Genomic DNA, 26,311 nt, shown 5'->3' on the forward strand with positions numbered 1-26,311 from the left:
ATTTTGCAGGATTCTACCAGATTATTCCACATTTATGAGAGCTACTTCTCAATTGAGGATCACCATTTACTTTCAAAGAATAACAGCATCATACACAAGGGCTCACCTTTGTATTAAACTCCTCTTCCTCTCCTCCCTGTTCACTTTCTTTTTCTTCACTGTTTATCTTTCCCACTCCTTTTCCTCTTTCCTCTTCTCTCCTCCCTTTTTTTCCTTGCCCTTCCCTTTTTGTGTTATTTCCACTTATACTATGTCTTGTCTTTCTTTCTTTCTTTTATGTAATATGGTCATTACACTGCCTTTTATTTAGAAAAAATTTCCTTCCTTTTTCAAAATTCTAAAACTGAAAAACTGAAAACCAAAATAAATTTCCAAAAAATGCTTTTGGAGCAAAACTAAACTGATGTGTCTATTTTTCATCCTTATTTATCTCACTGAGCGTGAATAGTCAGACACTATTCCTGCAGAAATACAGATATGTTTGACTACTTAAACTTCACTTAAGCCTCTGAGGTAAGCACACTCTGCTACCTTTATAAAATTGAAAAAATCTGAGTTCTAAAAGACATCTGGCCTGGAGAATTTGATAGTAAATTTTCGATCTATCATCCAAACAGTTTTTACGATTGTTACTGCTACTGTCATGCATCACTTAGTGGTAAGGATATGTTCTGAGAAATGCAACCTTAGGTGATTTATATGATATCTTGAGAACATCATAGAGTATACTTCCACAAACGTAGACGGAATAGCCTACTACTAACCAAGGCTATATGGTATAGCTTATTGCTCCTAGGCCACAAACCTATACAGCAAATTTCTGTACTGAATATTGTAGACAATTGTAACACAATGGTATTTATGTATCTAACCATATCTAAACATAGAAAAGATACAGTAAAATACAGTATAAATGCTAAAAAAAAAAAAAAAAGTGATACACATGCATAGGGCACTTACCTTGAATGGAGCTTGCAGGACTGGAAGTTGCTCTGGGTGTCAGTGAGTGAGTGGTGACTGAATGCGAAGGCCTAGGACTTTACTGTACTCTACTGTAGACTTTATAATTACTAGATACTTAGACTACATTAAATTTATAACAATTTTTCTTCAATAATAAATTAACCTTAGCTTACTGAGCTTACTATAAATTTTGTATTTTATTAATTTAATTTTTTTTAACTTTTTGACTCTTTTGTAATAGCATTTAACTTAAAACACAAATGAAAATACTTTATTTATTTATATCCTTATTCTACAAGCTTTTTTTCTATTTCAATATTTTTTTTTCTTTTTACACTTTTTTTTTGGTTAAAAACAAAGACACCAACACATATTAGCCTAGGCCTACACAGTGTCAGGATCATCAGTATCACTGTCTTCCACCTCCACATCTTGTCTCACTGGAAGGTCTTCAGGGGCAGTAACTTGCATGGAGCTGTCATCTCCTGTGGTAACAATGCCTTCTTCTGGATGCCTCCTGAAGGACCTGCCTGAGGTTGTTTTATAGTTAGCTTTTAAAGATATATAAGTAGAAGGATTATGCTCTAAAATAATCATAAAAGTATAGTATATTAGATACATAAACTGGTAACATAGCCATTTATTATCATTATCAATAATTTTGTATTATACATAAATATATGTGCTATACTTTTATACAGTAGGTTTGTTTACATAAGCATCACCAGTAACGTGTGTAATGCCTTGTGCTACAACATTAGGATGGCCTACAATATCATTAGGCAATAGGAATTTTCCAACCTCATTATAATCTTATGGGGCCACCATTGTTTATGCAGTATGTTGTTGACCAAAATGCTGTTACGTAGTGCATGACTGTGATTCTAAACTGTCCATTGCTTCCTTTTTTCCACTAGCATATTACATTTCTATCCAAACATCATTTACATTATAAAATGAATAACATCTCTCCACAAACATAAGGGGGAAACCACCCATAATTACACAACATTTTAATACAATAATAAGCAAAAGGCCAACATAGAAATAATAATAGTATAAAAGAGAGCAGGAGGAAACTTTTGGAGGTGATAGCTAGCTTTATGGCACAGATTATTATGATGGCTCCACAGGTGTGTAGTTCTCTCCAAACTCGTCAAGTTGTATACATTAATTATATACAGGTTTTAATATGTCAATCATAACTCAATAAAGAGGTCTTTTTTTAAAAAAGTAGGCAAAAGGCTAAATGCTACCCAACCAGAGTAATTACTGCAAGAGTTTGGAATGTAGCTTTTTAGTTTCCCCAAGTTTGCATAACAGTATGTCTATGAGTTATACATACTCTAACATATACACATATTTATAATGAAAACTTATGACTGTGCTATTTGTGGTTTCATATGATATTATTTTATAATCTTTCAAACTTAGCACCAACAGATCCCCACAGTTCCTTTTAATGACTGCACAGCATTCTAATATTGCAGTTGCAGCATAATTTATTTTTTCTCTCACAGATGAACAGAATATACTATTATACTGTGTAAACACCCTTAAACATATATCTCTCTAATGAGAATAGACTTATAAAAGGAAAACTGCTTAGTGAAATAATAGGTAAATTTTAAATGTTAACATTTAATTACAATATTTCAAAATATTGTATTAATTTGCATCCTTACTAATAGTATATTAGAGGGCCTAACACCCTGAAAGCACTTGATGTTGTGAAACTTTTTATCCCCTGCCAATCTGATAAGTGGAAAAAGAAGTCTCATCTTTATTTTTATTAACATTTTCCTGTTTACAACTCAGGCCAACCATATTTTCATTTTTTCTGCTCATGCTCTTGTTCCAACTCCTTCTCTTTCTTGCATTTCTAGTTTCTTTATCAGAGCATTCTCCTTTCATTAAAAAAATTAATTTGTGGAAGCACTTGGTAAAGTACAAATACCAACCCTTTTCCATCTTTTGCAAAATAAGATTCTCATAGACTTTCTGTTGCCTTAAACATTCTTTATGTTGTTTATAGATACTTTCTTCTGACTGACATAGTCAAGCTCTCTATTTTTCCCTCTTGATAGCATTTTGATTTTCTGTTTTATTTGAGGTCACTTCTCAGAACTTTTATAACTATTCTCCTATATTTCATTCAAATATATTTTTAGTTTTATTTTTAAAATTTGGACCTTTAATTTATCTGGAATTTAACCTTTTATATTGTGTAAGGATTTTTTTTTTAAAACAGCATCAGGTGGAGGTTTAACTTCTTCCAATCTTCAAATCAATTATCCAGCTGTCTCAATAACATAAGAAACCAGTCCAATAGTCCTATAGACATATTTTTGGATAAACATAGAAATGGACCCTTCTGGTCTTAAAATTTGAAACTCACATTTGTTTTACCTGAGTTCCTTCCTCAGGAAATAACCTTCAGATCTTTCAAAAACCATCAAATAATGAAACTCTTTGTATCAGCACATCCAGACAATGAGATGCCAGATTCCTCAATCATCATGATTGCTTCTTTACCCCTCCATAGTTCCTATTTTCCCACACATAGTTACATTTCTTCCCTGCTATATAAACCCCTAATTTAGTCTGTCAGCGAGATAGACTTGAGATTGATCTCTCATCTTCTTGGCTGCTGCACCTAATTAAAGCCTTCTTCCTTGGCAATACTTGTTGTCTCAGTGATTGGCTTTCTGTGCAGCAAGCAGCAGGACCCAAAGCTAACCCCTCATGTTTCAGTAACACCTATATGGAATAATCCAAATTTCTTCAGTAATTTGACTTGCCACATTTATGAAATAATATATTTCCTGCTACAATGAGTTACTTGTTTGATCTTATTCTAGTAATCCATTTATTAGGATAGCTTCATAAAGTATTTTACAATATGTTAGGTCACATTATTTTTCAAGATTTTCTTGAGATTCACATAATTTATAAACATAAAAAGTTAACTTTGACTAATTAAAATATAGAATTTTATTTAATACAGTGTTGTGTGTATATATTATTTTTCTTAATTTTTGATATTTTTATGAAAAATATCATTTCGTGAATTTTTTCAGGTCATGCTTTGTGTCCTTAATTTGCATGGTTTTTCTCTTGATAAATATATTTTAATTTTAATATATTTAGTATTTTATTGCTATTGTGGAAGTATATCTCCAGCTTTATTTTTTTTTGAGTGGCTATTGAAAGAGTAAATTAAAGCTGTAGCTCCTTGTAAATGTATTTTATGTACATTTGTATTACCATATTCTTTAAAGTTCTATTTTTGTTGTTTAGAGTCATTTAGATTTTCTAGCTATATAATTTGATTGATGAGAATGGATAATGATTTTGCTTCCTCTTTTGCAAAGCATATATTCCTTGTGACCAACAGAGTAGCCTAGTTTACTGTGCAGTAACAAATAACTACAAAATTTCAGTGACTTGAAACAGCAAAAAGATACTGTTCACTCAAGCTACATTTCCATTTTGAGGAGCTGTGCTTGGCATTATTCTCACTGAGACCTGTGTAAAAAAGGTAACCACAATCTTGAATAGCTTTGAGCTCTGTGTCAGAGGGAAATAGAACCATCGAGAGTCATGTGTTTTCTCTCAAATTACCAACTGGAAGTAGTATATATGGCTTCTGTTTACATTCCATTAGCTTAAGCAAGTCACATGTCCACATCTAATTTCAAGGTTGTAGGAAATCCAATTCCTGTGCCCAAATGGAAAACTTGATAATTAAAACAGAAACTATTCGGGAGTGAACAACAATGAATACATTGCGTATTATAATTTGTAGATTGCAGCTAAATAAAAATTTACAGGAAGTATTTCTTAGGCAAGCAAATGAATTAAGCATTTAGTTAAAAATCTATAAGCTCAAAAGTAATGAAAACATGTGTCCATATAAAAAACTGTACATGTGTTCTGGTCAGTATTATTCATAGTAACCAAAAAGTAGAACAAACCCAAATGACCATTAACTGATAAATAGATAATTAAAATGTGGCTTATCCATATAATGCAATGTTATTTGGCAATAAAAAGAAATGAAGTACTGATACATGCTACAACATTAATTAACCTTAAAAATATATGACAAGTGACAGAAGCTATATTCAAGGACCATATATTGTATGATTCTATTTATATGGAAGTCTAGAATCAGAAATCTATAGAGACAGAAAGTAGATGGCAGTTACCTAGGCCTGGTGGAGGTTGAAGGGAATGGAGAATGACTGTTAAGGGGTTTGCTTTTGTGGTGACAAGAATGTTCTGAGATTGATTGTGGTGATTGTTGCACAATTCCAAATATATTAAAAGCCTATGAATTGTGTAATTAAAGTGGGTGAATTGTATGGTATGTGAACTATCTGTCAATATAGCTGTTACTTAAAAACTATAAAAGGGATAGTGTATCTAAATAAAGTAGATGAAGGATACTATGAATATGACAGAGATAATAAATAAAACCAAAGTGCACTGCTTGAAAAGATGCAGAATGTAGTCTAGCGAAACTGAACAAAATAGGGGAAAGGAGAGAGGGAAGACACAAAGAGAAAACACTAGAACTTAAAATAAGACTTGGAGAGCTATATGGATAATAAACATATAAACTATGCCCAACTGCATTAGTCATCAAGGAAATGCAATTTAAAACTGCAATCTGATACTACTTATGGATTCATGAGATTGGCTAAAATGATAAAATAGAGTACCAAATGTTATTGAGAATACAGAGAAAATGAGACTCTTATATGCTGTGATGGGAGAGCAAAGGCATAACTTCTTTGGAAAATTTCATTAATATTATACATTAAAACTAAATATTTGCATAGCCAATGATCTGGAAAATCTATTCTCAGGAGTCTATTTATTTTCCCATTAGCCTATGATTTAAGTGGTTTTTTGTTTCTTTTCTTTTTTTATTTAAATTTCCAGACATATACATTAATAAGTATATTATTATGATTTATTTTTAGTTTTATAGTATAGCAATCAGAGAATGCATTCTACATTACCTTAATTCTTTGGAATTTATTCTCTTGTAGCCTAATACATGGTCAAATTTTGTAAAAGTTTCATGTATTATAGAAAAAAATGTATCTTTGTTCAGTGGAAGATTCATTATATAGCTATTAGATCAAACATTTTCCTCTTCCAGTATTATTAATTTTTTGTTTTCTCATTAGCTAAAATGATTTCTTTTAGAAACAAAGTGTTGGCCAGGCCTGGTGGCTCAGGCCTGTAATCCCAGCACTTTGAGAGGCTGAAGTGGGCAGATCACTTGAGGCCAGGAGATTGAGACCAGCCTGGACAACATGACAAAACTCCATTTCTACTAAAAATGCAACAAATTAGCCAGGCATGTGGTGCACACCTCCAATCCCAGCTACTTGGGTGGCTGAGGCACGAGAATTGTTTGAACCTGGGAGGTGAAGGTTGTAGTTTGCCAAGATCACGCCACTGCACTCCAGTCTGGGTGACAGAGTGAGATTCAGTCTCAAAAAAAAAAAGCAAAGTATCAAATTGTTACTGTGATTGATTATACATTTGCCCATACTTCGTTTCTTTTCTTTTCTTTTTCTTTTTTGAGACTGAGTCTTGCTCTGTTGCACAAGCTGGAGTGCAGCGGCTCAGTCTCAGCTCTCTGCAACCTCCGCCTCCTGGGCTCAAGCAATTCTCCTTCCTCAGCCTCCTGAGTAGCTGAGATTACAGGCACACACCATTGTGCCCAGCTAATTTTTGTATTTTTAGTAGAGACAAGGTTTCACCATGTTGCCCAGGCTGGTCTTGAACTCCTGACCTCAGGCAATCCACCTGCCTCAGCCTCCCAAAGTGCTGGGATTACAGGCATGAGCCACTGCGCCCAGCCTTTCTGTTTGTTTTCTTATTTTATAGTCCCAGATTATGTAATTGGGAATCATGTACCTTCATGTTTTCCACAAATTCTTGATCGATTGTCCCCTTTATTGGTATTATGAAAGATCCCTCCATCTCCCTGTAAAGGTTACTCAACTGAAGTTGTTTTGTATTTATTATGTTGGTGTTATTGTATGCATGTATATATGGGCAATATTTCCTAATATAGTAAATATATAGAATAATATATTACTATAGGCAAATATATGCTGTTCCTGCATATATATATATATATATATATATATATATATATATGTGTGTGTGTGTGTGTGTGCGTGTGTGTGTATATGGGATTATATATATATGGGATTATATATATATGAGATTATATATATAATATATATATCCTTCTCCCTTTATCTATACATAAATATATATATGGAAATATATGTTTCCCAACAAAGATATATTTTGTACATTACAAAGTATACATTTCCCTCTCCCTTATTTGTCTCCTACAAATAGCCAAAGCTGGATTTTATCTTTTTATTTGGCTTTAGAAGTTCCATCTTTTAATCGGAAATTTTCACCTATATGCATTTAATATTATTATTAACACACTGAGGCTTATCCCTCTAATTTTATTTTATGCTTTATATTTGCCATATTTTTTCTTCTTTTTTTATTATCTTTATTTCTCCTCTTCTAGTTGAGAAATTATACATAATATTTTTATTCTTCTAGTATCATCCCAAACTTTTGTAACAGAAATATTTAAATTTATATTTATCTACCCAAATCTAAAGTCTATAAATATCTATATCCTTTTCCTGAATAAACAAACACTTCAGCATTAAGGTTTAGAAAGTTTAAATTTAGGGCAATCTCTGAAGGGTCATCTCAGCTTCAGAGCTCTGTGTGACATTGACTAAGGCTGCTGTTGCAAAAGAATTTCAGCTTAACTTCTCCCTTTGCCCAATCCTACTTTCATTGTTTCCTCATGGCACTTTTCAACAAACATCAAAACACAAATCTTAGCAACTCAGAATATGCCTCCTAGGAAAGCTGACCTGCAATATAGAGGCGGTCTTTAATCTGAGCACATTTTTATCCTGTGCTTTTAATGATTTGCACCTAATTCAGCATTTGAGTTAATTCCCTAAAATACACAATTTACTGCTTTGAAGTTTTTTTTTTTAATTTCAGTTTTTATTTTAGATACAGGAGGTACATTTATAGGATTGTTACATGGATATATTTGACCCAGATGGTGGGCATGGTACCCAATAGGTAATTTTTCAATCAACGCACCCCTCTCTCTCTCTTGCCCCCTCGTCCAGTAATACCCAGTGTCTATTGTTCCCATGTTTATGTCCATGTCTGTTCAATATTTAGCTCCCACTTATAAGTGAGAACATGCGGTATTTGGTTTTCTGTTCCTGCATTAATTTGCTTAGGATTATGTTTCTAAGTTTAATATGACACAAACTCTTCAGACTTGATCGTTTTACTCTATGAACAAAAAGAAAAAAAAGGTGCAATTTAAAATATATTCATATTTTAAAGAAAGTGTTTAAAGATAAGTTTATTTTTATGTTTAACATTATTTCCAAAGATTTAATACTGCACACAAAGTACATATAATAGGGGAAGATCAGCAAATATATAAAACAAAATAATTTGATTTACAGTAATAGCAGATGGTGGCCACCTGCCGTTTGTGTTAAATATGAGTCATGTTCAGCAATGCCATCATTTATGAAACTAGAGATAGTCCCTATTTTCTATTTCTAATTTGCAGAATAGGCATAAATGAATAAAGACATGACAGGTTTGGTGATTAAAAGAGTGGCAGAGTTTTAAATTCACTACATTAGTGAGTTCATTATGAGTTGCTTCATTGCAGCTTAGTAATGCAGGGACAGTTGGTATGGATTAAATTGGATATTGTATAGTTATCATCCTTTTGACATATGGGCTCCCTGGTGGGGTAACACCTGCTTGACTTTATTCAAGGAAATCTAAAGAAAATATGGAAGAATAGGCATAAAAGCATACTGAACACTAAAATGTAGATTAAATATGATTTTAGTCATGCTACTTGGCATTTGGAGACCCGTCAAGCACCAGGGGGTGTGATCATTGTGACTAAGATACCAGAGTAGTGGATGTCAAATTACCCATAATATAAAATATCTTCAAAACATAAGTAAAGTCTTCCTGTAATAAGCCTCAATTCTACTATGTAGATGTAAAATTAATCTGAGTTAATTCCAAAGACAGCTGTTGGTGGATATAATGACAAGAGCATGGGACTTCGCAGTTCTGCCCACCGAAGATAAAGTTCTGTTCCACAGGTGAATTTTACATCTCTGGCAATTTGTTTGCTATAAAATATATGGAACCTAAATTACTGCAGAATTTTGGTGGGTGAAATAATATTGTATGTATCACACCTCCTACAACAAACTGGGGACCCATCAACTATTTCTTTAAATTATATTATGAAAATAAGGAAATATTTATGTATTACCAACCTTTTCCAGAATAGGACTGTACTTTACAGTGATGCATAAAATATGACTGAAGAGCATGTATTGGAACTTAATGAAAGATATTTAAAAACAAACAAGAAAATGGAGAAAAACAGAAAGCAAGAAGAAGACTATGATGAAAATTTTAGCAGCCTACAAATAACCTATATTTATGCCTCAAATTTTCTGAAGCTTACATGCAAAAGGAGACCCTGTTGGTTATACAGTACAATATTATTTACTCGGGGTAGTACGGAATATCTGTTCTTGGTATAAGAGCGGGAAAAGATTTCTCTTGAGGGTCTTCATAAAGAGAACATTGTTGGAAATGATAAACAGCATCCTCAATGGAATTCTTAAAATAGATGCAGTAGCAAGAGCTTTATAGAATTGTTCTAAATAGGTTTCTTGAATTATTTCAAGGGGTAACTCAATAAACATACTTCTGTACATGGAAAGGCGAGGGCAAGTCTAAGTCTTGCTTATCTGCTGAAGGGTACTGAGAAAGGGCAAAAGAAGCAATTGCAATCTAGGTAACTGGCTTAAAATAAAGACATATTTTAGGATATCTGAAAGAGTGAATGGCTTGTGCCCTGCATATAATTTATCATGAATTTGTTTCTTTCACAGATAAATTTTGAACAAATATAAAAGGGCAGTGAACTTAAAATTGTAATTTTTAGAAAATTCAAAATGAGGAGCTACTCTGTTGCTTGTTCTTTTTATGTAACAAAAGTTTGAGCCCCTACTATAATCCAAGTACTGTGCTGGGGACATACAGGACAATACTGTGATTTTGAATACTATATTTATCTATATGTGTATGCACATATGCCTATACATGTCAATGTATATCTATGCATCTACCACCCACAGATACCCCAAAGCCACTGCCTTTGTTGTCCCATAAAGCTGAAATTTAGTGTCCTTTGTCTACTGCAAGGCTGTTGTCCCATTTTTTACTACTGTCATATGAGTCACCCTTTAGCCCTTGTTAGCTGGGAAATCAATGGCAATCTTTTAAAAACCATACAAAACAGATTAAGAGGATCTAAAAGACTATGGAAGAGGCTCTCTTGTAACAACAACATGAGATTTGTGCATCAATATTGGCTTCCCAAAGACATTTTATATTTTCTCACTTGATGGGCTCTACACAGTTAGTGTGTATACAAATATAGTCAGACATATTAGATGAAAGATGTTTGGGTAATTTAAGTTTTATCCTTATTATAGTTGCATATTTTTCTTAACTTTGAGATTTGTTACTTATTTTGCTAAGGAGTAAAGAATGAAATTAATATAAACTTTTAGGGAATAGAAGTTGCTAAAAAAGATATTTATACATAAGATTATAATGAAAATGAAATTGATAATGATGGCTAGCATGTGCCACACACTTTAACTTTCAAATTTTCATTAATTCTCCCTAAATACACAGATTTATATCCTTTGTCTAAAAATGTCCTTGTATCATTCTCATTCTCAAGGACAGTTAGTTACTGAGTACACAATGCTAGGTGACATTTACTATAAGTTAGTTTTGCTGAATGTAAAAATACAAATCCCTTATGGCCAATGTGTCCTATTATCCATACAAAAGGTGCATACAATAAGACTTTATAAATATAGCATATGGCCTCTTTAATTCAGTATAATCCTGTGAGATTCATCTGTCTTATTGCATGTATCAATAATTTATTGTTAATGAGCAATGTTTCACAATAAGAATATATCACAAAAATTTTTTTCATTTTTATGACAATAGATATTTGAATTATTTCTAGTTTCTAGCTGTTATGAATAACATTTTTGTGAATTCCCAGTCTGCCAATCCACTATGAGACCACATCCATGGCCAGAGAAACAGGTCAATAGAGATGCCCCAGCAGACCCACTCATAAGTAGCCAAATAGCTATGTGCCCATGCCCCAAGCCACAGAAAGAGCCTAGTGGCCTCACTCTGTAAGCCAGTCTCCAAAGACTCACCATATGCATGTATGTATCACTGGCCTGAGAATCAGCATGACAAGCCCACCCCTGGCAAAGATGTGTCACCATTGCCCAAACTCCCAAAGCCTTGGCCACTGAGGCACTCATAAATATAGCTAGTATAGTTTAGAGCTGCAGAAACTACACAGAGCATATTACTATGTGCATCTAGAAACATAGCCAATCCACCCTACCCGACTAGATCACAGGACACATCTACAGGAATAAGTCTTTCTCTATGAAAGCTACTCCATAAAACTGGAAGAGGTGAGTGTTCCACCACATGCACAGATATCAATGTAGGGGCACAAGAGACATGAAAAAGCAAGAAACAATAATTATTTAGTAACAGAACACAACAATTCTTTAGTAACAGAGTTAGTAACACCCCCAAAGGAAATTTACAAAATGACAAAAAGGAATTCAAAATAATGATATTAAGGAAACTCAGTAAGATACAATACAATAGATATAGATAATTCAACAAAATTAGTAAAGCAATTCATGATCTGAATGACGTATCATTAAAAAAACTCCAGAAATCATGGAGCTGAAGAATTCAATAAATGAAATGAAAAATAAAGTCAAGAGCCTCAAGTGGAAAAAAGAATTTCTGAATTTGAAGAGAGGTCTTTTAAAATAACTCAGGCAGGCTGGGCACGGTGGCTCATGCCTATAATCCCAGCACTTTGGGAGGCCAAGGCAGGCGGATGACCTGAGGTCAGGAGTTTGAGACCAGCCTGACCAACATGGAGAAACCCTGTCTCTACTAAAAATACAAAATTGGCCGGACATGGTGGTAAAAGCCTTTAATCCCAGCTACTTGGGAGGCTGAGGCAGGAGAATTGCTTGAACCCAGGAGGCAGAGGTTGCAGTGAGCTGAGATCATGCCATTGCACTCCAGCCTGGGCAACAATAGTGAAACTCCATCTCAAAAAAAAAAAAAAAAAAAAAAAGAAAGAAAAAAGAATTTTTAGCAAACCCAAAGAAAGAAGCCTACAGGGATTGTGGGACACCATTAAATGAACAAATGTTTGCATTATTATGAAAGTTCCAGAAGAATAGCAGGAAAAAAATGTAGAAAACCTACTTGATAAAATAATAGCTGAAAACTCCCTATGTTTTGGGAGAGATATGGATACCCAGATCCAGGAACCCCAAATAGAATCAACCTAAAAATGTTCCCTCTGAGGAACATTATAGTCAAATTGTCAAAAGTCAAAGACAAAGAGAAATGTGCACAATAGGAAGAGAAAAGTGTCCAGTCACATATAGGGGAATCCCCTTTCAACTTAGAGCAGATTTCACAGCAGAAAATTTACAGGCCAATAATTGGGATGATATATTCAAAATGATAAAAGGAAAAAACCTGCTAGGCAAGGATACCATACCCAGCCAAGCTATCTTTCAAAAATGAAGGAGAAATAAAATCTTTCCCAGATCAGCAAAAATTGAAGATATTTATCACCAATAGATTTGCCTGACAAGAAATGCTTAAGGGAGTCTTACATATTGAAGAAAAAGGACTGTAACTACCACCATGAAAACACACAAAAACTATAAAATTCAATGGTAGAGCAGATGCACAAATGAAAAAGAGAAAGGAATTGTGCACTGTCACTACCGAAAACCTCCAAACCACAACGATAAACAATAAAAAAGGAAGAAAGAAACAAAGGATATATAACACAACCAGATATGATAGGAGTAAGTCCTCACCTATCAAAAATAAACTTGAATGTGGCCAGACATTGTGGCTATGAGCCAGATTCAAGATTTTATTTGATAGGTAAGGACTTACTCCTATCAAACACTTTGGGAGGCTCAGGTGACAGGATTGCTGAGCCAAGGATTTCAAGACCAGCCTGTGCAGCATAATGAGACCTCATCAAAAAATACAAAAAAAATTAGCCAGATGTGGTGGTACTTGTTTATAGTCCCAGCTACTCAGGAGGCCAAGGTGGGAGAATTGCTTGAGCTGATGAGATCATCAAGGCTGCAGAGAGCATTGATTGTACCACTGCACTCCAGCCTGGGCAACGAGGTGACGTGCTGTCTCTCGTCAACAACAAACAACAACAAAACCTAAAACTTGAATATAAATAGATTAAATTCCTAAGTAAAAAATATCACCTAGATAAAAAAGCAGGACCCAACTATATGCTGTCTATAAGAAACTCACTTCACCTGAAAAGAAACAAACAGTCTGAAAGTGAAGGGATAGAAAAGATATTCCACACAAACAGAAACCAAAAGCAAGCAGGAGTAGCTATACTTATATCAGATAAAGCAAACTTTAAGTCAAAACTGTAAAAACTGACAAATAAGATCATTATATAATGATAAAGGAATCAATTAAGCAAGAGGATATGACAATTGTAAATATATATGCACTCGGCAATGGAACACCAGATAAATAAAGCAAATGTCATTAGATCTAAAGGGAGAGAGAGATTTCTATACAACTTTAGGTGGGGACTTCGACATCCTACTTTAAGCTTTGGACAGATCATCTAGCCAGAAACTGAATAAAGATACATTAGTTTAAACTGCACCATAGAAAAAATGGATTTAACAGACTTTAAAGAACATTTGATCCAACAGCTGCAGATATAGATTATTTTTATCAGCACATGAAATATTCTGCAGGATTGACTGCATGTTAAGCCACAAAACAAATCTCAACAAATTTTCAAAAATTCAAACCATATCAAGTATCCTTCACAGTTAGAATATTCTAAAACTAGAAATTAATATAAAAGGAATTTTTAAATTATATAAATAATGGAATTTAGACAACACAGTCCTGAATGACAAAGAAACTAGGAAGGAAATACAAAAATGTATTGAAACAAATGGAAATATAACATGACATACCAAAACCTATGGAATACAGCAAAAGCAGTGCTAAGAGGGGAGTATAAAAGCAAGAACAACCCAAGCCCCGCAAATAGAAAGATATTCTATGGTTCATAAATTGGAAGGAATAATACTGTTAAAATGAACATACTACCCAAAGAGATCTACAGATTCAAGGCAATCCCTAATAATATACCAATAACGTTTTTCACAGAAATAGAAAAAACAATCTTAAAATCTGCATAGAACCACGAAAGACTCAAATAGTCAAAGCCATTCTGAGAAAAAGAGCAGAGCTGGACACATCACTCTACCTGACCTTAAAATATACTACAAAGCTGTAGTAACCAAAACTGAATGGTGTTGGCATAAAATCAGACACATAGACCAATGTAATGGAATAGATAACTCAGAAATAAATCACATATTTACAGCCAACTAATTTTTGACAAATGTACTAAGAGCATTAATTGAGGAAAGGACCGTTTCTTCAATAACTAATGCTGGGAAAACTGGATATCCAAATGCAGAAGAATGAAACTAGAGCCCCCATGTCTCACCATATACAAAAATCAACCCAAAATGGATACAGACTTAAAGGTAATACCAGAAACTATGAAATGACTAGACAAAAAAACATAGAGGAAATGCTTCAGGATATTGGTCTGGGCAAATATTTTATAGAAAAGACTTCAAAAACACAGGCAACTTAATCAAAAATAGACAAATTGGACCTTATAAAACCAAAATCATACTGCATAGCAAAGAGAACGATCAACAGAGTGAAGAGATAACCTTCAGAATGGGAGAAAATACTGTAACCTGTTCATCTGGCAATAAATTAATACCCAGAATATACAAAGTACTCAAACAACTCAGCAGCAACAAACAAACAAACATAAAAACAATCCAATTAAAAAATGGGAAAATTATCTTAGTATATTTTGTGTTGCTATAAAGAATACTTGAGACTAGGTAATTTATAAAGAAAAGAGGTTTATTTAGCTCATGGTTCTACTGGCTGGGAAATTCAAAGGCATGTCCTTGGCTTCTAGAGAGGGCTTTCATGCTGTGTCATAATACGGTAGAGAAGATCAAAGGGGAAACAGACACTTATGAAGAAAAAAAACCCAAGGGGCATTTTGACTTTATTACAACCAACTCTCATAGAAACATTCCCAAGAGAATGAATTGAATTGAGAGAGAGTGAGCGCGAGAGAGAATTCACTCACTCCCACAAGAATATCACAAGCCATTCATGAGGTATTCACTCCTATAACTCAAAAACCTCCCATTAGGCCCCACATTCCAATGCTGTCACATTGGAAATCAAATTCCAACCTGAGTTTTGCTGACGACAAACATCAACCATAGCACGATTGAATAGACATTTCTTAAAAGAAGATATACAAATGACCAATAAGCATATTAAAAAATACTCAGCATCACTAATTGTCAGAGAAATGCAAACCAAAACAACAAGGAGATATCATCTCACTCTGGTTAGAATGGCTATTATCAAAAAGACAAAAAAAAATAACAAATGCTGTCAAGGAAGCAGAGAAAGGGGAACTCATACACTGTTGATGAGAATGCAAATTAGTGTAGCCATCACAGAAAACAGTATGATGGTTCCTCAAAAACCTAAAATTAGAACTATCATTTGATCCACGAATCCCAATATTTGATATATATCTTAAAAAAGAAAATCAGTGTGTTAAAGAGACAACTGTACTTCCACGTTTATTGCAGGACTATTTACAATAGCTAAGATATGGGATCAACCTATGTGTCCATCAGCAGACGAATAGAAAAATAAAATTCGGTATATGTACACAATGGAATACTACTTAGCCATAAAATAGAATGAAATCCAGTTATTTGCAGCAACATCAATGATCCTGGAGCACATTAAGTGAAATAACTCTGGCACAGAAAAATAAATACTGTATGTTCTCACTTATATGTGGTAGTTTAAAAAGTTGATCTCATATAAGTAGAGAGACAAGTGGTTACTAGAGGCTAGGAAGGGTAGGGTTAAAGGAGATATAAGGAGAGGTTGGTTAAAAGATACATGATTATAGCTAAATAGGGGGAATAAGTTCTAGTGTTCTATAGCACCGTGAGTGATTATAGTTAATAACAATTTATTGTATATTTTCAAATAGCTAGAAGCCAAGATTTTGAATGCTCCCAACACAAAGAAGTGATAAATGTTTGAGGTGATGGATTTTCTAATGACCTTCATTTGATTATCACATATTGTACACATGTATCAAAATATCACACTGTGCCCTATAATTATGTACAATTATTATGTGTTGATTAAAAATAGTATTTTAAGAAAAAGAATAGTAGTTCACACCTCAGAAAATTATTGTAAAAATAAAGTGACTAAATATTTAGGAACTGCATGATCTGTTCATAGATAGCACATTGTAAGTATAAGTATGTATCCCTGTATTTTTCTGGAGAAATTTTTAATGAATTCTGACTACTGTGAACATTTTACTTACTAGATTCTATATGATGATACCTAAAGATTTTTTTGTAATTAATTATGCTTTGGGTCCAGTAAGGTGGATCCATGCCTAAAAAGTAATCAGAAACATGTATTAGCATTCAGTAGATTCTAATATTTAAAATGATACTAAATTAGTCTGGAGAGGAAAAATCTTTAAATATCAGTTGCATAGCATGAGGAACTCTTATGAAAAGCAGATGGAACTTTACAAAAATGGTGCCTGATTGCTTTGGTCTACAGAGGCTGGATTGCTAAGCCTACCAGATATCAGTGGCCGCAGACTACCATTTCACTCACTAGATTTGCGTTTTGTGTCACTATGACCCCAAATCTGCTTTTATTGCCTAATTATTTGGTTGCTGCCATATAACCACATGATACAAGAATATTAAAGTTTTTGTTTCTCTTTTGAGAAATAGATAAATTTACAATTAAAATCTATAAAGTCTGAAGCAATTATTACTGATTTTTGTTTCAAATGGAACCATACTGAAGTTTTTGTTTGCTTGTGCTTTTGCTTTAAATGACTCAAGAAACCTTTTCAAACCAGGACCTAGGAAAGTGAGAGTGCTGTTTTCAGTGACATTTAGGGCTTACATGAGATATTATATATCTCTGAACTGCTGGGGAAACAGATGACAACTTTGTCTGAAAACCAGATTTTATAAAAACTGGGAATATGGGAGTTAATATAAAACCCGATTTCTTATAAACATATATAATGTTAAATTCCTTCAAACAGTCTGAACTTGAGATCCTTAACTCTGGAGCCAAAATTGATCAGGTTTTAATAGAAGAATCTTAATCTTTGTGGCAAATACTCCAGTAGATTTTAAAATGTGCATGTATGGATGAATATCTTGTCACTTTTCAACTCTTGTATTGTACGGAATGTCCTTTTATTCCTTAAAACCCCATCTTTGCTCACAAAATCCCAATTTTGTTCCAATACAGGAACAAAATTGGGATATGGATCACTCCTTAGGATGTGGATCTACATTAGTCTAACAATCAAAACAATTCCACAATAATCCTTTTTTCCAGTGTCTGGTTTAGGTGGAGGAAAGTGAATGGAATGCAATTATGCCCACTGGAATGTAAAGAGAAGTTTGGTGAGAGGCTTCTAGGAGGTTTTCTTTACTCTTAAAAAGAGACTAAAGCAAAATATTCACTGTCTTCTGGCCTTCAGAAATTACTGTGCAGTGAACTAATGCCTTAAATTGCTGCAGCCTTCTTGCAACCATGTAGGAATTAGCTATTTAATTTCAGACAGCAGAGCAGAGAGGTCAAATGATGACATTGTGGAGTCATTACATTATTGAATTTTTTAATTGTCTTACCTTCTGGACTTCTTGTTATGTTTATGTTATGTTATGCTTTTTTTGTTTATGTACAGTAGTCTCTGCTTATCCAGCTTCACTTTCTGCTGATTTAGTTACCCATGGTCAACTGCCATCTGAAAATAGGTGAGTGCTATACAGTAACATATTTTGAGAAAGATAGAGCGACCACCTTTACATAACTTATTTAGAGTATATTGTTACAATTGTTCCATTTTACTACTAGTTATTGTTGTTAATATCTTGCTGTGCCTGAGTTAAAATTAAACTTCATCATATGTCTGCATGTATAGAGTTCAGGACTATCCATGGTTTCAGGCATCCATTGGAGGTCTTGAACAGTATCCACCTGGCATAAGGCGGGCACTATCATATTTTTTTGGGTCTTTTGCTTTTTGAAGTCAATTGCATTCTAAATAACACAAAAATAACAAAATAACTCTGTGTTTTATACTATATGTAGGGAAAAATGAAATGCAAGGCCTGACCAAGTCAGATACGTGACAGGTTTTGAAAATTTGCATAAGCTATTTACTTAGGAACTTATTGCATCTGGCATACTGATACAGTCATAATTCTTAAAAACATTTTTAATAAATATTAAATTAAAGCATTTAATGTAGGAAATAAAATATCAAACAAAGAAAGAGGAAGATTTTTTTGCTTATTACATTTTTAAGAAAGATTTCCTTTAAAACTTAATGGCAGCAAAATATTGGGGATTATTTTTTAAAATTCACAGTCTTGAAATATTTGGGTATGTCTAGATACATTTAATATTGTAATTAGGACTTTTCTTTTTCTCCAAGAACATTGGAATGCACATGGGCTTTTTCTGGGTCATGATGGGTTTTAGGGATTTCCTGAAGTCTTACTTGAGGTTAAGGGCTACACCAGATAATCAGAGTTGCATATTCCATTAGGCAAAATCACTCAGGCAGATTTCACATGAACACTTCCATTTTAAGAGAAAAATTTTAAACTGAAGGGTAATGGTAAGACCATTCCTTGCCATTTACACCACTGTAAAAAAATGCTAATTATGTAGGCTGCAGTAATGGTGAATGGATTTGTGGAGATTATAGGAACCTGTATATAACATTTTCTGCTCATATATGACAATAGCAGTCTATTCCACACAAAACAAAGTTAATGATCCTCAGCCCAACTTTCAAAGTTTTCCACAATTTGAACTCTATTAATCTATCCCCTTGAGAGAGTGTATGTATGTGTGTGTGTGTGTGTGTGTGTGTGTGTATCCTTTACCACAGCCCATAAGTCCACTGTCACTTCATAATCTCACTGTACTTTAAACTAACCTCTCCAACATACTCCTGCACCTGCTGCCTTGTCATCCTTATTAGCCCAGGTTGAAGTTCTATCTTAACAAAAGGTCAGCCATTAATTAAACTCTGTTTTCAAGAAATACAGTTTATAACTAATTTTCTTTATGCAAAATTATATACAGAATTTGGGGGCAGCAGCAGAGAGAAATAGTGTTGAGAGATTTGCCATCATTGGGCAACCAAAGGAGATTCATAATAAAGCAATTTTAAAATTTATGAAGTTAATCATTAAGATTTTTCTATTTTTGTTTACAATTGTTTTCTGAACTTAGCTTATCAGAGTATGGAATCATTGTTTTTCTTCCTAAATAAAATGAGGAATAATTTAATAAAGAGCAAATTCCAGGTTGTTCAATAAGTTATTGATCACAAATGTTATGGATATATGAGCAGATACTACGTACCAGGAATATGTTACAATTTATAAAACAATCTATTTTCCATTTGAAAGCAGGTTAGACTTCATTGCTTTACTTCTTTCATGATTTTCCCTATTTAAATACAGGAGAGTAAAACAAAATGTTGAACACATTTTTCATAAGCCCTCCCTGATACTGTATACTGCATGTACTACTACTTGTTTCTTCGGAGTCCAGAGGTTAAAAAAAAGAAAAAGAAAAGCTTTCCCTATATCAGACTAACAGTAATAATTAATACTTTTTTACCAGTAAAGTTGAAGACATCCATGGAAATGTAAACCTCCTACTTTCATTTAGAAATAAAGGAAATATGTAACATAATTATTCTCAAATGAGTCTAACATTGAATTTCAGAAACTTAAAGTCCAATGTTTTATCTTAAAGTAGCTTGTAGGAACAAATTTAAAAGTTATCCATAGTTAAAATTTGAAAATACCAAATCCTTTGAGTGCCACTTTAATCCCAGATCAAACAAGGCCTGCTGGTCCAAGAACTAAAATTGATTTTGTTACTCATATCAGAGGCAGCTCATGATTCCTTCCATCCTTTGCTGAAAGCAGATAGTATAGGTAGAAGATAATTATTCCTTTAATGCTAACTTTGTAATGCCTAGATGGAATCAGTGCTTCAAACAATTTCTGTTTCCTATTTACATTTATAAATGCCCTTTGCCCCCTAAGTTTCCCCATATGTAAGAATTAATTTAATAAAGGAAAGTGTCCATAGCTCTGCAGAAAAAAATTTCTCTTCATAACAGTGTTAGTCGTTTATCTGTTACCTTTTTCTGAGAAGTTTTATTGTAGCTTGGTATTATTAAGAGAGCAATGAAAATTGGAACAATACAGAAAAGATTAGCATGGCCCCTGTACAAGGAGGACATGCAAATTTGTGAAGTGCTCCATATTTTTTAAGTAAAATATAAAATTATATAAAAAAACAGAGTGCATTGCAGCCATGTAACTGGGGCCATGGATGAAGTGATATAATCTAGGCTGCAGACATCAAAGGTAATGGAGGGAGTATGCTAGGTGGTAGCAGAACTATAACTGGACTGGGACAGTGCACATCAATTCCTCTTCCTTTTTCTGAAGTTGTGCAGAGTGGCAACAGGGCTGTCAAAGTCAAAGCATTGTTCACAGGGTAGAGGGAGGATCATGGATGCAGCCTTGTCGGTAAAACTGAGCTGTCAGTTGAGGAGTTGTCTCCAACGCTATCACCTGCCTTAGAAAATGAAAGCTTAACTCCCACCTGTCTTTCAGGAAGTGATTTCTTCACATTCTAAATGTCAGTAAGGTGTGATGTCAGTAATGAGGGCTTGGCTCTTTCTTTACTCTGAATGGCTATGAGACAGCTGTGAAGAGATGGCTGTGAACAGAGAGCCCTGCACAAAGTTGTGAATTACAGGTTTATTTTCAGTGCAATGTTCTCACGTTCTTAAGGCTCTGTGTTCCAATGTTCTCTCTTGCAAAGTCACATTCAAGCTTATTTCTCACCCATCAACTGACCTCTACCATTTCTCAATTCCCAGAGCCCCTGTGTCTTTCACATACACTAATCTGTCAAGATAATTATTAATAAATATTAGCATTCACAGTTCTATTACTGCTGGAGGGAATTTAGATACTCTTTAGCTCCACACTCTCATTTTACAGATAAGGTGAATTGGTATGCATATGACCACATGGTTACATGAGAGGGGAGGGGAATGGTTATTATTATTAGTAGCAGCAACATCATAAGGCATATGTAGTTAAACAATAACTTGTTGAAATTGAAAGAAAGCAGAGACAAAATTAGGTGTTATCAGGGAAGGTTGACGGAATGGCTAACCAGAGACCTCTCTCATACCCGAGATATATATATATATATATCTATATATATATATATATATTTTTTTTTTTTTTGAGATGGAGTCTCGCTCTGTCGCCCAGGCTGGAGTGCAGTGGCGCTATCTCGGCTCACTGGAGGCTCTGCCCCCCAGAGTTCACGCCATTCTCCTGCCTCAGCCTCCTGAGTAGCTGGGACTACAGGCGCCCGCCACCTCGCCAGGCTAATTTTTTGTATTTTTAGTAGAGACGGGGTTTCACAGTGTTAGCCAGGATGGTCTCGATCTCATGACCTCGTGATCCGCCCGCCTCGGCCTCCCAAAGTGCTGGAATTACAGACGTCAGCCACCGCGCCCAGCCTTTAATTAATTAATGGCAATACAGAGTCTTCTTAGCTTTGCAGAATCTCAGTGCTGCAAGGGTCAAAGAGTTGACTAAATTCAGGGCTTCTGGGTTACACCTGCCAAAATCACAGAAGACTCAAGTAGAAAGTTGAATGTCAATGTATTAATTAATAAACAGAAACACAAATGTCAAGTCAAGTGTAAAGAATCATTGGTCTGTCAGACAGTATGAGGTAAGTGAAATTAGTAATCATATCATTGTTAATTCCAAATTTTAATAAAACATTATGTACCAGGTCTTTATTGCTGAGCTTTATAAAAGTTGTCATTGAATCTTCTCAACAAACACCTATAAAGTAGATGTCATTCTCACCACATTATAAATAAGAATAGCCGAAGCACAGAGAAGTCAAGAAACTTGACCATGGCCATATAACTAATAAATGGCACAGTTAGATTGTGAACCCAAGTAATCTGCTTTTACCCACTCTTCAATGGTAATTTAGTAGATGGCTCAGTAAGCACAAAAACAGAACCATTGTTTAGATCATTGGTTCAACTCCTTAGTGACTGGTATAAGGCAATGGTTCTCAAGCCGGAGAGAATTTGCCCCCAAGGGAACATTTGACAATGTCTAAAGGCAGTTTAGATTGATACAACTGGAAGAGGGGATTGCTACTGACATAGCAGGTAGACGCCTGGAATGCTATTAAGTATTCTGCAGCACATAGGACAGCCCCCAACAACAACAAAAAATCCCATCTGAAATGTCAATAGTGCTGAAGCTAACAAACCCTGGTACAAGGCAGCAAGAGCTGCATCCCCCTGCACAGTAGGGTTTCATTTCCCATTAGGGCTTGCTTGTTGAGTTCTTGGGCTATAGTGCCCTGTTATTTGTGTAGTATTTGAATGTGCACTCAATTTATCTTTGACTTGTTTTTTCATGTTTCAAACTTGTTAACTCCCATTATTGTCAATAATTTATCTTATTAGACATATATAAGCAATACTGTGCCCCCTCCATTTCCCTCCTAAATTTATTTGCAACTCAAATACTAAAACTATTAAAATCAGCTACAAATACTGAAATCAGCTACATGTACTATGTAATTTAAGCCATGTTTTTTCATCAGGATGGAAAAAAACAAAACAAAGAACACTTTAACAACATTCAACCTAGGACATTTCATCCATGTAATCTATACCATGCTGGTGTTTTCCCCTCCAGACTGCAAATTTTGTTGGCTCATATTGCGACCTATCCAGCTTTACATCATTGTTTGGTGGACAAATGTACTTTTCTGCTCTAGTTATCTAATATTGCTGCTATGCTCAATTTTGATTGCCTTCTTTTTAAACATCATTATTTTTAAATTGTGGCAAAAAGTGATATGATAATTTTCACCAAAATTTATAAAATTTTGTTAGTGAGTCAAAGGATTATACCAAATTGCTCTCAAAAAGATTTCAACATTTATATTTCCCCTGAGAGTACAGAAAAATACAGTAAGACTTTAGTATGCTAACACACATTATTAATCTCTGAAAAACAGGCATATTAGAAAGAATTTTTCCAGGTTTATTTGACCATAGAATCATTTCACCATTGGATACTTATTAATATTTTCAGTGAGACACGATGATCTCCATTAGACAATTTGAAAATTTTTGATGAGAAATGAAAAAATCCTGAAATAGTCCTATTACTATTGAAAAATCCTGAAATAGTCCCATTACTACCTTGTAGAATATTGTTCCATCTTGAATAGACTAGAAAAATTTCAAAACATTTGTAAGCTAAGAAAAGTCATAATCTCCAGAACTTTCAGTACTTTATTTCATTCTATTTTTTAAATTTTAATTGACACATAATAATTGTACATATTTATGGGGTAAAATGTGATACTTTGATATATGTATACATTATGCAATGAAGAAATCAGGGTAATTAGCATATTCAAACATTTACCATTTCTTTGTGGTGAGAACATACACAATCTTCTCTTCTAGGTATTTTGAGATATGCTATATCTTATTGTTGACTATGGTCACTCTACTATGCAATAGGACACCAGCATCTATCCTTCTTTTTTAATTGTAACTTTGTGTTCCTTGACTATACTCCCCAAGCTCCCTTCCACCCACCCTCTTCAGTCTTTGGTAACCACTGTTCTATTTACTATTTCTATGAGATCACCTTTTTAGGATTTTGCATATGAGTGAGAACATGTAGTATTTGTCTTTTTGTGCCTGGCCCATTTTGCTTAACATAATGCCTCTAGGTTCATTCATGTTGTTCCAGATGACAAGATTTCATTCTAATCATCATGGAAATTAAAATCAAAACCACAATGAGATACCACCTTACTCCACATAGAATGGCTTTTATTAAAAAGAGGAAAAGAAGGTTGGTGCAAAAGTAACTGCGGTTTTTGCCATTAAAAGCAATGCAATAGTTAACAAATGTTAAATAATAACAAACGTCAGTGAGAATGTGAAGACAAGGGAACCTTTACACACCGTTGGTAGGATGTAAATTATTACACTCATGGAAAACACTACAAAGGTCCCTCAAAAAATTAAAAATAGAACTATATGATACAGCAATCCTACTACTGGGTAAATGTGTTAAGGAAATGAAATCAGTATATTGAAGAGATATTTGCACTCCTATGTTTATTGCAACACTATTTAAAATAATCAAGATAAGAAATCAATCTAAGAGTCCAACAGTAGGTAAAATTGATAAAGAAAACGTGGTATATATATACAATGGAATAATATTCAGCCATAAAATAATTAACTAGTTTATTTTAAAATGACTTTAAAACATACATCATCAGGAACTTCTGTAAGTTTTATCAAACACAGAGGTGGCTGGTGAATTGAGTATTTTGTCGATATCAGTTTTCAAATTTGAGTTCATTTCTATATCAAGTGCTAAGTTTTACAAAAATATATTTAATGACCTAAACTGTAAAGATTATAGTTTTTATTTCCATTTAAGAGCTGAAAATATGCTTTTAAAAAAATCATCTCCAGCACTTTGGGAGGCTGAGGCAGGCGGATCACCTGAGATCAGGAGTTCAAGACCAGCCTGGCCAACATGGTGAAACCCCGTCTCTACTAAAAATACAATAATTAGCTGGCCATGGTGGCAGGCGCCTGTAATCCTAGCTACCTGGGAGGCTGAGACAGGAGAAACGCTTGAACTCAGGAGGCGGAGGTTACAGTGAGCCGAGATTGCACTCCAGCCTGGGCGACCACGAAACTTTGTCTCAAAAAAAAAAAAAAAAAAATTAGTTGAGAAAACAACAATTTTAGAATTATTTGACAAGGTAAGGAAGAGGTAGGTCAAAAAGAATCTATGTTCTCCAGGTTCATCTACATTGTTACAATTGACAGCATTTCCCTCTTTTCAGGGGCTGAATAGTATTTCGTTGTGTATATATACAACGTTTTTTTCATCCATTCATCTGTTGATGGACATTTAGATTGATTCCATATCTTGGCTATAATAAGCCAGAAACAGAAAGACATTACTGCATAGTCTCACTTATATTTGGAATCTAAAAACGTCATCAAATGCATAGAAACAGAGTAAAATTGGCTGGGCGCGGTGGCTTACGCCTGTAATTCCAGCACTTTGGGAGGCCGAGGTGGGCGGATGACGAGGGCAGGAGTTCAAGACCATCCTGGCTAACACGGTGAAACCCCGTCTCTACTAAAAAAAAATATAAAAAATTAGCCGGGCATGGTGGCGGGCGCCTGTAGTCCCACCTACTCGGGAGGCTGAGGCAGGAGAATGGCCTGAATCCGGGAAGCGGAGCTTGCAGTGAGCCGAGATTGCGCTACTGCACTCCAGCCTGGGCGACAGAGCGAGACTCCGTCTCAAAAACAACAACAAAAAAAGAAACAGAGTAAAATTATGGTTACCAGAGGCTTGGAGTTGGGGGATGTTGGTCAAAGACACAAAATTCATAGGAGGAATAAGTTCAATAGATCTATTTTACATCAAGGTTAAAAACAATATATTGTATACTTGAAAATTGTATACTTGAAAATTTTAAGTGTTTTCATCACAAAAAATGACAAGCAGGTGAGGTAATGCATACGTTAAATAGCCTTATTTAGCCATTCTGCAAGGTATACATATATAAAAACATCACATTATATACCATAAATGCATACAATTTTTATTTGTCAATTTTTAAGTCTTTAATTAGGGATATTAAAACAAAATTCTTCCCTTAGAGCTACACTTTCAGCTATATGGTAGATTAGTTTAACTAT

At 34.3% G+C, this 26,311-nt stretch overlaps 1 long non-coding RNA gene and 1 pseudogene across 2 annotated transcripts in view; both read left to right on the forward strand.

Annotated features, from left to right (window-relative positions):
• LOC107986297 (uncharacterized) overlaps positions 1 to 26,311 on the forward strand; it is a 64,842-nt gene that overhangs the window by 13,778 nt on the left and 24,753 nt on the right. The window contains exon 3 of one of the 2 annotated variants that reach the window (XR_001741779.1): positions 18,140 to 18,209. The exons of the other annotated variant lie outside the window; for it this stretch is intronic. This is a non-coding gene — a long non-coding RNA (uncharacterized LOC107986297). Of the gene's footprint in view, positions 1 to 18,139; positions 18,210 to 26,311 lie in introns of those variants that run through there. 2 annotated transcript variants of the gene reach the window in all.
• RNU6-462P (RNA, U6 small nuclear 462, pseudogene) lies at positions 20,652 to 20,756 on the forward strand (annotated as a pseudogene).

Source organism: Homo sapiens, chromosome 4 (genome assembly GCF_000001405.40).
Source record: "Homo sapiens chromosome 4, GRCh38.p14 Primary Assembly".
NCBI classification, from domain to species: domain Eukaryota; kingdom Metazoa; phylum Chordata; class Mammalia; order Primates; family Hominidae; genus Homo; species Homo sapiens.